Genomic DNA, 12749 nt, shown 5'->3' with positions numbered 1-12749 from the left:
AACTATGAGTAGATAAATTTCTGTTCATTTTAAATTACCCAGTCTGTGGTATTTGGTTAGAGACGCATAAAATGGACTAAGACAATGTTGCTTTTAATTGCACCTTGAATGGTTATAAAATGAACTTTCTTCTTTAAAAAATTTTCCCATAACATTTTGGGGGGTGGTGTACAGTTCTAAGAGCCTTCACACTCATGAAGATTTGTCCAACTACCACCACAACCAGGAGACAGAACAGCTCCGTCCCTCCTCCAAACATCCCTGGTGCTGCCCCTCTGCAGTCACACTCCCCGCTTTCCTGCCATCACAGCTCCTGGCCACCACTGGTCTGGCCCCATCCCTAAAGCTGTGTTTTTATGAGGCTGTGACATGAGTGGAATCATGTATGTAACTGCTTCTCTCACTCAGCATCATGCCCTGGAAAGGCGCCCAGGTTGTATCCTGCATCCGTGGAATGCGCCTTTCAATTGCTAAGTGGTATTCCATTGTATAAATGCACCACACCCACTGAAGGACATCTGTCCTCAAACAGCCCAAGGTCAGGTCCTGCTTTCAGGGTAGTCATCAATGTTTTGGACCCCGCTCAGCCTTTCACTACTTACCGGGCAAAGACAGTGCCACTGCCACCCGGGAACGTGTAGGGGTGCTGCTTCCGGAACACGTGTCCCACACGGCTGCACGGGATGATCTCCAGGCTGCCACCACACTGCCACACGCGGAACGAGATCTCTGAGACGATGAACAAGACACAGGTGACTGACAGAGCCTGGGACGCACCTCTGCAACAGCAGACACACCAAGCAGGTACAGAGGCCCCCTGACCATCCCATCATGGGGCTCCCATGCCCTCTGCTGCTGAAGGAGATCTGATAAGGACCTTCCTCCTTCCAGAACCTGATGCAGAACTCTCTAAAGGAGAGACATTTGACACACTTGGATCTCTGGACCACAATACAATCAAGAAAAAATGTTCACGGGGAAATATTTTTCAGATGTGGAGTAGACACCTTGAGACAAGAATGCTTCTTGGTCTACTGTAAATATAAAGGCCTCTTGGCATAAGATCATGTATACCCCAGTATCATCGTAACTACTGAGTGACAAAACACTTGTGCTGAATTCTTCACTAGCTGGCTCACGATCATTTGCACTTGCTTCGTATCAACACCGTGGGAAAAGGCAACACTGAAGGTATATAAATATGTACAATTAAGCTTTATTGTTACATATTCTAGACAACCATATATGCCATCTTTCTCTAAAACTTATTTTTAACAGACTGAACCCCAGGATGCATCTTGGCTTTTCTCATCCAGGGAAAAATAATCCCTTCCCTCAAATGGAAAAGTTTATTAAATACAAGTCCCTGTGTATTAGCAGGCTCAAGTCTCCAGGCAGAGTTTGGACTTACGGACTATGGACTTAGGGACTGCCTTATGGACTATGGTAGTGACCAAGGACAGTCAAGTAACTGATTGATATCTGCACGCTGCTCACAGGCTTGGACCAGTCAGTAACCAGCTGGCCCAGGTAGGAATGCTCCCTGGGGAAGGCTGCTGTTGACTTGCTTCAACACAGAACTGACCGGCAGGAGGAATGAGATGTGTAGGTCTAGGCACTACCCACACCTACTTAAACACACAGACTGCCCTGAGCATTGGAACTCAGTCGAAGCTTAGACTGACTGGTGTGCCTTTTGTGACACACAGGTACCTTCCAACCAGGTACCTGCCCTTATCACCACTGACTAGGTGAGTGACTGGAGTCTGAGTCAGGGGTCCGACTGAATGCAAGAAACAGATTCAACAAAAAAACTAAGAATTTTCTGAAAGGCAAAAAACAGTTTTTCTTTACCAGGTTTGTATAATACAAAAGGGAATTTTCCTCTGTATTATCTAAGATCCCTAAGAACATGTTAGGGAGGCAGGACAAAAATCAACAGTTACTGTGAATGACAGGACTTCATTTTTTTTTTCTGGCTGGATAGTATTCCCAGGAAATTAAGTGAAGTAAGAACAGAAAGTTGAATACCATGTTTTCACCCATACATGGAAGCTAAAAAACACTGATCTCATAGAAGTAAAAAGTATAACGGAGGATAGTAAAGGCTGGGAAGGAAGGAGTAGGGATTTTTTCAAGGATACAAAATTATAGCTAGAGAAGAGGGATCTTGCTTGTGTTCTACAGCCCGGTAGGGTGACTCTAGGGACCCATAATATATACAGAGTTTCAAATAACCAGGAGGAGGATACTGAATGTTCCCAACACAAAAACATGCTACATGTTTGAGATGATGGATATGCTAATTTCCTTGATCTGATCACCATACATTATATGTATTAAAAACATCACTATGTATCCCATGAATATGCACAATTATTATCTGTCAATTAACAAATTAAAAGAAGTAAAAATATACACATATAGTATCTACAGAGTGTGCAGTCACTGTCACCAATGCAGATTGATCAGAAATAGGGTGGGTCCATCACAGACCATACAGTGAGTTGATGGCAAATCCTGCAGGCAGTCAACCTAGTTATGGCAACAGGTGCCCAGAATGCCAGGCACATGGCAGGAAATACAACACAGGGGTCAGAACACCATGAGTTTCTACTTGGGTCCAGCAAACTAATGCCTCACTCACTAGGAATGGGTGATCCATGCAGCTGTTACGGGGCTTTAATAAGCAACTCTCTTGTACTAATAGAAAATGTATGGTTACAATCACATAAGCATAAGCAGTGAAAGTTTCCGACTTTACTTTTTACAGTTCCCAACACAACCTAAGAAGTTGTCGGCTGGGCGCAGTGGCTCATGCCTGTAATCCCAACACTTTGGGAGGCCGAGGCAGGCGGATCACCTGAGGTTGGGAGTTTGAGACCAGCCTGACCAACATGGAGAAACCCTGTCTCTACTAAAAATACAAAAAATTAGCCGGGCACGGTGGCACATGCCTGTAATCCCAGTTACTTGGGAGGCTGAGGCAGGAGAATCACTTGAACCCGGGAGGCGAACGTTGCGGTGAGCCAAGAATGTGCCACTGGACTCCAGCCTGGTGACAGAGCGAGACTCCATCTCAAAAAAAAAAAAAAAAAAAAAAGAAGTTGTCTCTATTTCAGAAAATAAAATTTAAATATCCATTTGCCTCACCACAAGATTTAGAATTAGGGGCTAGGAAATCCCCTTGGCTTCTCTATGGGGAATCTGTTAAGCCAACAAGGGATCCTTCCAGGGCTTTTGTGGGAGATTTTCAAGGCTAAGTATAACTACAGTATCTTCAGCGTTGATTTCATTTGAACCCTATAACTTTGAGGATAATTACTCAGTAAAACTCAATGGCTTTTTAATTAGGCAGTTAGTGTTTACATCTTGGTTCTGAGACCCTGGGCAAGGTGTCATGACCTCTGCAGACCACACTCCGTTAAGAAAGCACAAACAGATGATTCCCTGGAAGTACTTAGCATCATCCTTGCATGACAGGGATGTAGAGAAACACAGATGATGCCCCCAAGGAGCCTTACCCCCATTGTTAGAGTTAAGGGTTAGGTTCTTGGTCCTCCATTTTAATTGCTTAAATGACATAAGGACTTACATGATTAGGAAAATGGGAAGCTCTGGTCATTCCAGCGGGGCACACGTTGAGGAGGTGGTTTTGGATCTTACTCGGGCCTCTCTGCACCATACACCTCTCCCAATGCACACCCACAGAGGCCCCTCAGGTTGGCAATGGCTAGTAGTGTGCACGGCCCCCAGAAGCAGAAGCTAGAGCAGTGCTAAGGAGAAAGGCTCACGGCATGGCCTTCTCACGTGAAGCTCTTGAGCCCTCCAAACCTCACTGGGAGTCCAAGTCCTTGGCATAACCCAGGAGAGCCCCTCACGGAGGGACAGATGCCCCAGCCTTCCTGGGCAGAGATGTGCTCCTGCTTGCAGGGTTCATCTTCACCCCAACCTGAACCGCTCAGACCCTAGAACCTTCTAGCACAGCTACATAATAAATACAAACACCAAACCACAATAAAGCAGCTCCTTACAACAAATCTACCCCCCAGTCTCTGGGTGAATGCCTCCTTAGATATGTAAATCAACACTCTTCCTACACGATGACACAAAATGCTGGCTGATGTCTCATTTCAGCTAATAGTATGCAAACTTCTGAAAACCACACTGTTTTTGAGAAATGGCCACCTACACGATACGCTGCCCTACTGGGCGACCCTGGCCTGCTGGATTTCCACTAAACCATTAGGGGATACCCATGGAACAGGGTGACAGAACTCTCTTTAGAGGGTTAACAATTCTGAAGCCTTTTGTACTCAAGTGACTTCAATCCAAGCTTTCCCTAGAGGTTAATGTATCATTTTTTTAAAACAACCCAAAAGGAGTTTGACTCACGGTCTCTCCACCCGTGCAGTATAGTAATCGAGCCTAAAGAAGCTTTCAACATCAAACCAAGGCAGAGAAATCCTCAAAGATGAGATGGTATCACTGACTTCAACATCATAAAACAATGGAAAAATAATAGGCTAGGCTAGTCTTTTCTTTTAAAGTAACAAAAACTTTCAAAGTCTCAAAACTATTAAAAATGAGTGGCCTCATTTTCCCCTTTCCTTCTCCCCTGTCCTCCAGGGTACACTCACCCAAGGACGAATGTAAGTTAACAACACTCAGCAGCCCAGGAGAATTCGCTCAGAATGTCAAGCATTTGAAACAAAAGGCTTTAATTGAAACAAGCAAAAAAGATCTCCCCCACTCCAAACCCTAAACAAACAAAACACATCTTTTCATCTTTTATGCAGTAAATATAAGGCTACCAATATAGACCACAATGTGCAAAATTTTGCTGTGCCTAAACCTGGGTAAAAATAATTTGCATGGGGTATTTAAAAACAAAAAAACAAACAAACAGAAAAACAAATGAGAACCATTCGCAAAGGTAGTCGAGAAGGGATTAAGTGCCAAGGCCTCCCTGCCCCATCGGATTTTCATGATTTCAATTCAATCAATCCCACCAGCCTCGCCGGGGTTCATTTTCCACTCTCCACCACTCAGCATGAATCTGAGCTCCTGGACTGTTTCCCTCTGTTTTTGCAAGCCTGCAACATTCCAAACACTTGGGTTCAGACGCCTTGAAAGAGTTTGCATTTCCCTTCAAAGACTTTATCCGTATTCTGGCATCCTCCACTCTAACCTAGGGAGGCACATTTTAATGCCCAACTCATGAGACTTTCAAGAGCAAAAGGGGTGTTACATATGTGTTTGCAAGGATCGATTAAGCCCAGTGAATGGTCACTCTGAAGCCTTTTAAATTTTTTTTCCAATTGGCACCCTGCCTTTTGCAGAGCTGAGGCACTTCTCTGTCCTGAGATTTGAGGCTTGTACATACCTAGGTTCTCTCCTCCCCACACATCCATCATCATGTCGTACTTCCCCAGTTCTTCAAAATAGAACTTATCCATCACAAACAGCCCACCAGCAATCATGGGGGTTCTAAAGAGGCAGAAAGAAGAGGGGGGAGGGAGGAGAGGGCAAAGTCAAGGTTAGATTGCCAGCACCCTTGCGCCAAGGCCAAGCCTTGATTCCCTAACAATAAGCTGATCTTCAGAACAGCCACACTGCCACTGTTTTCTGCTCAGTGCCCAGCATGCCACTCTCTCTGCTTCACCACTGCTGCCTTCAAATGCCTCCCCCACTGTCCCTGCCTGGATGTTCCCACAGTGCCAGGGGCTGGACTGAGCCTCCCCTATGTGGGAGCGACTGCTGGGGCTGGATCACTACTCACTGACATGCTGCCATAGGCAAAGAACTCGGCCTTTCTGTGTGTCAGTTTCCTTATAGGGTAGCTACGAGGATTGCAAAAAATCATGGGCATAAAGCCCTGAGCACGCTTAGGAAATGCTCCACAGCACCAGCTCTCATTATCACTATCATAGATGAGACTCCACCTCCTACAAGGGAACCCACCATGCTCCTCACTTCATCATCCCAGGAAGGGGTTGACAACAGATGTACACTGAGCTCCCTACTTTGTTCCCAGAAGCGATGCTGTGCGAATTCAGTGTAAAGTGCTGGGAAGGTCTATGGCACACTGCAGATGTTGGCTAAATGTCAGCAAATATATTTCAGCGCTAAGTACTCTGTGAATGCTATCTCACTTAACCGTGTGCCAACTTGGAAGAGGTGGCCCCCTTCTCTCCCCAGCTAGAGAAGGCATCCTGACTCTCAACCAGAAAGCCCACCGCCCGGCCTGGGAATCTTAAAAGCATGGGCTTCATGAGCATGGGCTCCTTCCTCTGCAGGAGAGCAAAGGCCTGCTGGGCAGTAGCAGCAGTAAGCCTCCTGCTGCCCACCAAGCCCCTTTTCCTGGGCCTGGGGTCAGCTCGGAGATCCTGCTCTGCTACAGAAACGCTCTACATTATCAACATACAGGAATGCACAGACCTAGCAGATAGGCCTTATAAACCTATGTGAGACTTCAACTGTGGAAAAGAAATCTCCAAGGATTTTATTCTATGACCTGGTGGAAGGTGCTCATCTTTGAGCTGAGACGAGGGGAAACCGGAGGGCAGAAGGTGAACAGCCCCCACTGGGTCTCCAGGCGGTGCGGGCCCAGCAAAGAAGCTGGAACCTGGGGTCTCATCTGGGAGGGGCACCCTGAAGGATGCTGGCACTTACTTTATAGGGGCGACTGGGTTCCCCTGCCGGGACCTTCTCTGCTCAGGCGTCATGTAATCCCACTTGAATACCAAGTTCCAATCAAAACCTGCCAGCCAGGAAAAGAAACAGGGTGTTGACAAGAGACTGGCCACTTCCTCCCGACACCCCCATTCCTCACAGCTTAAAAATATTCGATGTTTGGACAGAACTCAATGAAAACCAAAACAAAGCCAAAAAAGAAGGTGTGGAGGAGAGAGAAGGGGACTGGGGGCGTGGGTGTAGCTGAAGAGAGAGACCGGCAGTGAGGGTGAATGTTGAAATCTTCTCCCTGCCCCTCCCTAAAGAAAATGTGAGTCAGGCTTTTCTAATATTGAAATGCATAGGAAAAAATGAAATATGGGGAGAGAACTGGGGTCTGTGTGGTGATAACCAGGGCATGTCCAAGGGCTGTAAGGATGTGAGGAAAAAGAGCATCCAACATGAAAATCAAGCCGTGGTACCTCCAACACTGCCCCAGGGGAAGGCAATGCTGGGGAGGGAACGAGGCTTTGTCAGTTCCCTGGGCCAGCAAACTTCAGACTGTATTTGCAGCAAGAATGGAGTGGGAACATGCTGGGAATATGAAAACTTTAAGGGAAAATGAGCCAGCGGAAGTTGCCAAGCTGGGCAAATAAGCTTCAATTTCAGATATATTTGGCACCTGTTGCATTTCATTTTTGGAATCCACAGACCCCTGAGGATAGAAGAGCCTAGACCCTGTACCCGGACTTGGTTGTGGGCATCTGCAGGGCCTCAGGTCTCGCTCTTGCTCCCAGGGTCACACACATAGTGCCTCTTGGAGGCCAGCAGGCTCCACCTGCGGAAGCTGTCCTGGTGCATCAGGAGGCCACTTCTTGGCAAACACATGGCTCATGGTGCTGCATTTCCAATTCCAAGGGTCTGACAGCAAAACCTAATGACTCTAGGGCATGCATCTTTCAATCCTCTTAAGCTCTCTGCCATCAGGCTTTTTGTCAACAGGGCTTTTGCAATGCCTAAGTTTGGATTTGTCTGCATGCTTTGAATTCATAGTCTGTCCGCCCTGACAGCCCCAGTGACTGAAGGATGGCGGGTGAGGGTTTCTGAGTGTCCTGGGCTGGCCAAGAATTTATGGCTCTGGACAAAGAGGCCTCCCAGCTCCCTCACTGCAGGATAGAGTGGCCTCAGGCAAAGAGAGAGGGAAATGGACAGGGGCCCAGGCAGTGGGGACAGAAATGCACAGAGAGGAGACCCCTGCGGGCCCCTGAGCTGGCTCTTATCATGGTGCCTCAAAGGCCACGAAGGAAAACCAGAAAAACAATGTCCTGGCTGTTTCACTAACAGAGAAGGTTAAGGATTAGCTGACATAACCTTTCCTTTGTTTTTTTGATGTTTACTATTATCTTATTATTTATTTTATTAATTTGGTCCAAAGAGAGAGGCTATAGCAGATTAAAGATCTGTTAAGAATGGCATCCTTGATTTTTTTTCTAAAGGAATTTCATAAAATGCTCTTAGGGTGAACGTGGCCCCGTTCCTCTGACCCAGAAGACCTGCACCCCCACACGGAACACCTGGCTGTTCTTGCCCCTGCTCTGACATACGCAGCTGCTTTGGGAGAAATAGAGCCTGGTAGATCTCAGCTCTTCGAATACTTGGGGAAATACAACATTCTGAAAGCCAGGCTTTCTAGCTATCTAAGGATCCCTCCTCTTTAATGTCCCCAAACATTTTACTTCTCACCATTTGCTGGGAATCGTTCCTGAATGTTATGTTTCCCACCCTAGGTACAGTCCTCCAAGCATGCCCGCCCTCCCGCTGATGTCTAATTCCATTATGCCCTGTGTGGCCAGCACAATTATCATCCCATTTCCCAGAGGGGGAAGCTGAGAAGCAGAGGCAAAATGGCCTGCCCATGATGACGGGGCCTGCAAGAGGCAGGTGGGGCCAAAGCCCACAATGTCTAGGACCGTGGCTGAGTCTCCCTAAAAAGTCCAAGTATTCTGTTTTCTGGGGTTAAGGCTTGCTTGCACACATATGTGTGTGTGTATGAATAAGCAGGGTCTCACTCTGTCTCCCAGGGTTGATCGTGGCTCACTGCAGCCTTGACCTCCCAGGCTCAAGTGATCCTCCCACCTTAGCCCCGAGTAGCTGGCATGCCATCACACGCAGCTAATTTTTTTTTTTTTTTTTAATAGAGACAAGAGTCTTGTTATGTTGCCCAGGCTGGTCTTGAACTCCTGGGCTCAAGCAATCCTCCCACCTTAGCCTCCCCAAAGTGCTGGGATTATAAGCGTGAGCCACTGCACCTGGTCAAGGCCCTATTTTATAGTTTTACTGTCTTCTTTTTTGATGTTAGACCATCAGTTAACCCTCTGCCCAGTGTCTATCTAGAATAGTTCATCTTCACACAGATGAAAGCTCTTTGAGGTCTTTGATAATTTTTAAGAGGGTAAACAGACAAAGTGCTCTTGGGGCTCCAGGGTGGGTGCGGTGAGGACATACAGGAAACTGGTGTGGTCATTCCAACGGAAGGGGACCAGGGTGATGTAGGCACAGGTGTTGGGCTGGGAAAGAGGGGTACAAGAAACCATGATACATGCAAGGGGCTGTATCAGCAGAACAGGGTCACACGTGGGCTTGGTGAGGGCGAGGGGGTTGAGGATGACACAGGTCTCCATCTGAGCAACCAGAAAGAGACCAGGCTGTCAGAGAAATAGCCAGGGTGAGCAGAGAAGGCAAAGACAGGCTCCAGCCCCTTGAATCCCACAAAGCCTCAGCTCCGTGAAGCTTCTCACCCCAGATTCCTGCAAGGAGGGCTTCATCATCTCTGGTCATAAAGGACGCCATATCTGTTCATGGAACCACATGGCTCGCAAAAGTGACAGAAGGTCAAGGAAGAGGAGAAAGGGAAACCCAGGAAGCTCTTTAAGGGAGCAAGCCTATTTTTTTTTCTCTTTATGAAGTCCTACTCGTTAAGCACACAGGTGGTTTTTACTCAGAACACACACTACGGCGTGAACACTGTTGTCACTGTCACTCCTGACAATGAGAGGGAGTGGTGATCAGATGCTGGTGTAGACGGGACGAGCTAGGCAGGGGCACCATGACAGACACCTACCGCCCTTCAAGTCAGCAGATGCCCCCACATACTGAAAGTTGTCCATATTAATGACATCGATGATGGGTGACACAACCCGAGTCCTGTCCTAAAATACAAAGAGAGGAGTAGTTATCAAAATCCCAGCAAAACAAAAAACCTGCCCAACCACAGAAGGCATTAGTATTAGGCAGGCACAGGGCAAACCCAACTGGCCCTTACTACCTACTACCCTAGGCCCTCAAGAACCCAGCCTCCCCACCCAGACCCAGAAGGTCTTGCTCTTGGCCATCCACAGATGTGCTGTGGCCTGCTGGGAGGCAGGGAGGGAGGTCAGGAGTGGGTGCGTAGCAGGAGTCACTCTAGGAGTGGAGACACCCATGGTTATGGGACAGGTAGCCATCAGTTCACCCAGCTAAAGGCAAAAACTGTGTTGCTGTGTCCCAAGGGTCCTTTTCTGTTTGCCCAAATACCATTAGTGATTTGTGAGCTGCAGTAAACTTCAGGAATGGAGTCACTGCTAAAATGCTCATACATCAAAATTAGGAATATATTTCTATGTGGGAGTGTGTGTGTGTGAGAGAGATGTGGTAAGTATCAATATTATCACAGCAGAAGGTTAACCAAATCAACCAGAGATTTCCAGATTCTACGTTTGCCTCATCTGTAATTCTATCTTTTTTGTTTTTTTGTTTTGTTTTTTTTTTGAGACGGAGTTTCACTCTTGTTGCCCAGGCTGGAGTGCAATGGCGTGATCTTGGCTCACCACAACCGCCGCCTCGCGGGTTCAAGTGATTCTACTGCCTCAGCCTCCCAAGCAGCTGGGATTACAGATATGCACCACCACGCCCAGCTAATTTTTGTATTTTTAGTAGAGATGGGATTTCTCCATGTTGGTCAGGCTATTCTTGAACTTCTGACCTCAGGTGATCTGCCTGCCTCGGCCTCCCAAAGTGCTGGGATTACAGGCGTGAGCCACTGCGTCCAGCCCCTGTGATTCTATTAAAAAAAAAAAATCCCCCTAGATTGAGCCATGTCTTTATGCCACATTGCCATCATTCTGGTAAGAGTTTGTGAACATAAGGCCTTTTAACATCTCTAACCTCTTTAAGCTCAAATGACGGATGCTGGTGAGAGACCCTGGACTGTGCCCCATGCTGACAGTTAACCAAAGAGCAAGTGTTTTCCCTGAGCCACTTAGAGAACCCTTATTAGCCAGAAGAAAGATTTAGAAATACAACTTAGTAACAGAACCAGCAGAGCTAAGAACATACTACATCAGAGGAACAGGTGAAGGAACATGCTAATTAGGAACACGCAAACACTGCAAAGCTCTGTAACACCCAGGTGCAAATCTACAGGGAAAAGTAGGCTGTGTGGTGCATTGAGGGCAGAGAAGAACACAACTTTCCTTGCCTGGCTCAGTCTGGTTCTAGGTGTATGAGTTAAAGGATATAATCTACTTTACATTTTGTTTCATAAGGCTCAATTTAGTGAAAGTTAATAGGCTTGGCACTTTCTCTCCTTAATTTAGGAGCAGGCGTTCGAAGCAGTTCTGACAATCTGACCACTGAGCTCGGTGACCTTCGCACACCCAAACACTGCCATGGCAGTTTTGGTTTTGACTGCGCTTCCCTGAGAGACAGCCTGGCGGAGCGTAGCCAGGGAGAGCAAGAAGTTGTGGGGTTGGGGTGGGTGGGGATTCCAGGGTGGGTTCTTCTTGGATATAGCTGTATGCACATGTGTTAAGAGAGGGGCTCAGATAGGGATTTAATGAAACTGGCTTTGCAAGCCTGGCTCTGCTACCTGTATGATTTTGCGTGCATTATTAAAGTTCCCTGAACCCCAGCCTGTTTACCTGTCAAACGGAGATAACAAGTGCATTACAGGTAACATATAAAAAAGGCCTAGCCCCAACTTGATAAAGGGTAATGAATATGATCTTCATAATTCCTAGTAGCTTGTGGTTACTTAGTATTCCATGACTCACAGCCCATCAGCTATCCTTGCTATGCTTAGGCAGAACTACTTGTTCATTTTCTATTTCCTTTCATTAAGTTTGCTTTATCGCCCCCAAGGAAGTGCTTTCTTAGTAGGAAGGAAAGAAAAGTCAATAAAACAAGCAGAAGGCGAGAGAAGTGAAAAAAGGCCAAATGTAATATTAGCAATGATGTTTCTAGAAAGCAGAAGGTGCAGAAGTGGAGCCGCGGATCACCCTCTGACAACCCCACCGGTCCCTGTATGCTTCCTAGCCACAACCCTCTCCCACAGGAGCCTGGAAGCCTGCTGGGCTAACCTGCCCTACTCACTAAGAGCAGAGAGGTGGCCCCAGGGACAGCTTCCCCAGCACGCCCCGCTCTGCGAGCTGCAAGAGATGGCACTTGCTAGGTGCCGGGCAATGTTCTAAGCACTCTGCGAAGCTGTAGGCGGGGAAGGAAACTGCTCCCATGAAAAGGGCTGCCTTCAACTAATCAGGCTCTCACCAGCCTCTGCTGATCCTCGCCTCCTACCTGTCAACGGATGGTTCCTCCTACTGATGGATTCCTACAGCCAGTAAAACAGTCTTTCTACAATGCCCCAAAGGCATTTTCCTTCTATCAAGGAAAACTGCAGACGGCGAGCTCAGCCCCTACCAGCCCTGACGCCCTACTCCCTGCGTTACACCTCCCCTGGACCATGCTCCCTTCTGTCCCCTCTACCAACCACCCACGACCTGACACCCCTCCCAGCCCCCGTCATCTCACCTCCGCCACCCTTTCCAGGAGGGGCTCCAGCCAGTGCTCATTACACTCGCAGTGACTGTCCAGGAAGGTCAGGACCTTGGCTTGGGCAGCATCGGCCCCCCGAACCCGTGAGCGCATGAGGCCTGCAGAGGCGAGTTGGAAAGCACGTCAGGAGAGAGAAGCCACAGGGCCAGCACAACCCCATGCCAACCGGCGACGCCTCCCTGCCCGCAGCTCTGCAGCCTGCTTTC

General features: G+C 47.6%; 1 protein-coding gene across 3 annotated transcripts in view, besides 4 other annotated features; it reads right to left on the bottom strand.

Annotated features, from left to right (window-relative positions):
- Positions 1-12749, bottom strand: part of GALNT2 (polypeptide N-acetylgalactosaminyltransferase 2) — a 224334-nt gene that overhangs the window by 26176 nt on the left and 185409 nt on the right. For all 3 annotated transcript variants that reach the window (NM_001291866.2, NM_004481.5, XM_017000964.3), the window contains 5 exons: positions 12520-12641; positions 9797-9884; positions 6676-6763; positions 5387-5490; positions 603-729 (listed from right to left, as the gene is read on the bottom strand). In NM_001291866.2, the coding sequence (NP_001278795.1) occupies positions 603-729; positions 5387-5490; positions 6676-6763; positions 9797-9884; positions 12520-12641 (529 nt within the window). The remainder of the gene's footprint in view (positions 1-602; positions 730-5386; positions 5491-6675; positions 6764-9796; positions 9885-12519; positions 12642-12749) is intronic.
- Positions 172-672: an enhancer, noted in NCBI's record as "H3K4me1 hESC enhancer chr1:230391021-230391521 (GRCh37/hg19 assembly coordinates)". NCBI's record gives its function as "activates a minimal SCP1, AML or CMV promoter by ChIP-STARR-seq in naive H9 embryonic stem cells {active_cell/tissue: H9 hESC(naive)}" and the evidence as "EXISTENCE:reporter gene assay evidence [ECO:0000049][PMID:30033119]".
- Positions 673-1173: an enhancer, noted in NCBI's record as "H3K4me1 hESC enhancer chr1:230390520-230391020 (GRCh37/hg19 assembly coordinates)". NCBI's record gives its function as "activates a minimal SCP1, AML or CMV promoter by ChIP-STARR-seq in naive H9 embryonic stem cells {active_cell/tissue: H9 hESC(naive)}" and the evidence as "EXISTENCE:reporter gene assay evidence [ECO:0000049][PMID:30033119]".
- Positions 3282-3942: an enhancer, noted in NCBI's record as "NANOG-H3K27ac-H3K4me1 hESC enhancer chr1:230387751-230388411 (GRCh37/hg19 assembly coordinates)". NCBI's record gives its function as "activates a minimal SCP1, AML or CMV promoter by ChIP-STARR-seq in naive H9 embryonic stem cells {active_cell/tissue: H9 hESC(naive)}" and the evidence as "EXISTENCE:reporter gene assay evidence [ECO:0000049][PMID:30033119]".
- Positions 3943-4604: an enhancer, noted in NCBI's record as "NANOG-H3K27ac-H3K4me1 hESC enhancer chr1:230387089-230387750 (GRCh37/hg19 assembly coordinates)". NCBI's record gives its function as "activates a minimal SCP1, AML or CMV promoter by ChIP-STARR-seq in naive and primed H9 embryonic stem cells {active_cell/tissue: H9 hESC(naive and primed)}" and the evidence as "EXISTENCE:reporter gene assay evidence [ECO:0000049][PMID:30033119]".

The sequence above is a fragment of the Homo sapiens genome, chromosome 1 (assembly GCF_000001405.40).
Source record: "Homo sapiens chromosome 1, GRCh38.p14 Primary Assembly".
Taxonomy (NCBI): Eukaryota; Metazoa; Chordata; class Mammalia; order Primates; family Hominidae; genus Homo; species Homo sapiens.
Note: the sequence above shows the minus strand (reverse complement) of the source record. Positions and strands in the feature narration are given on the sequence as shown.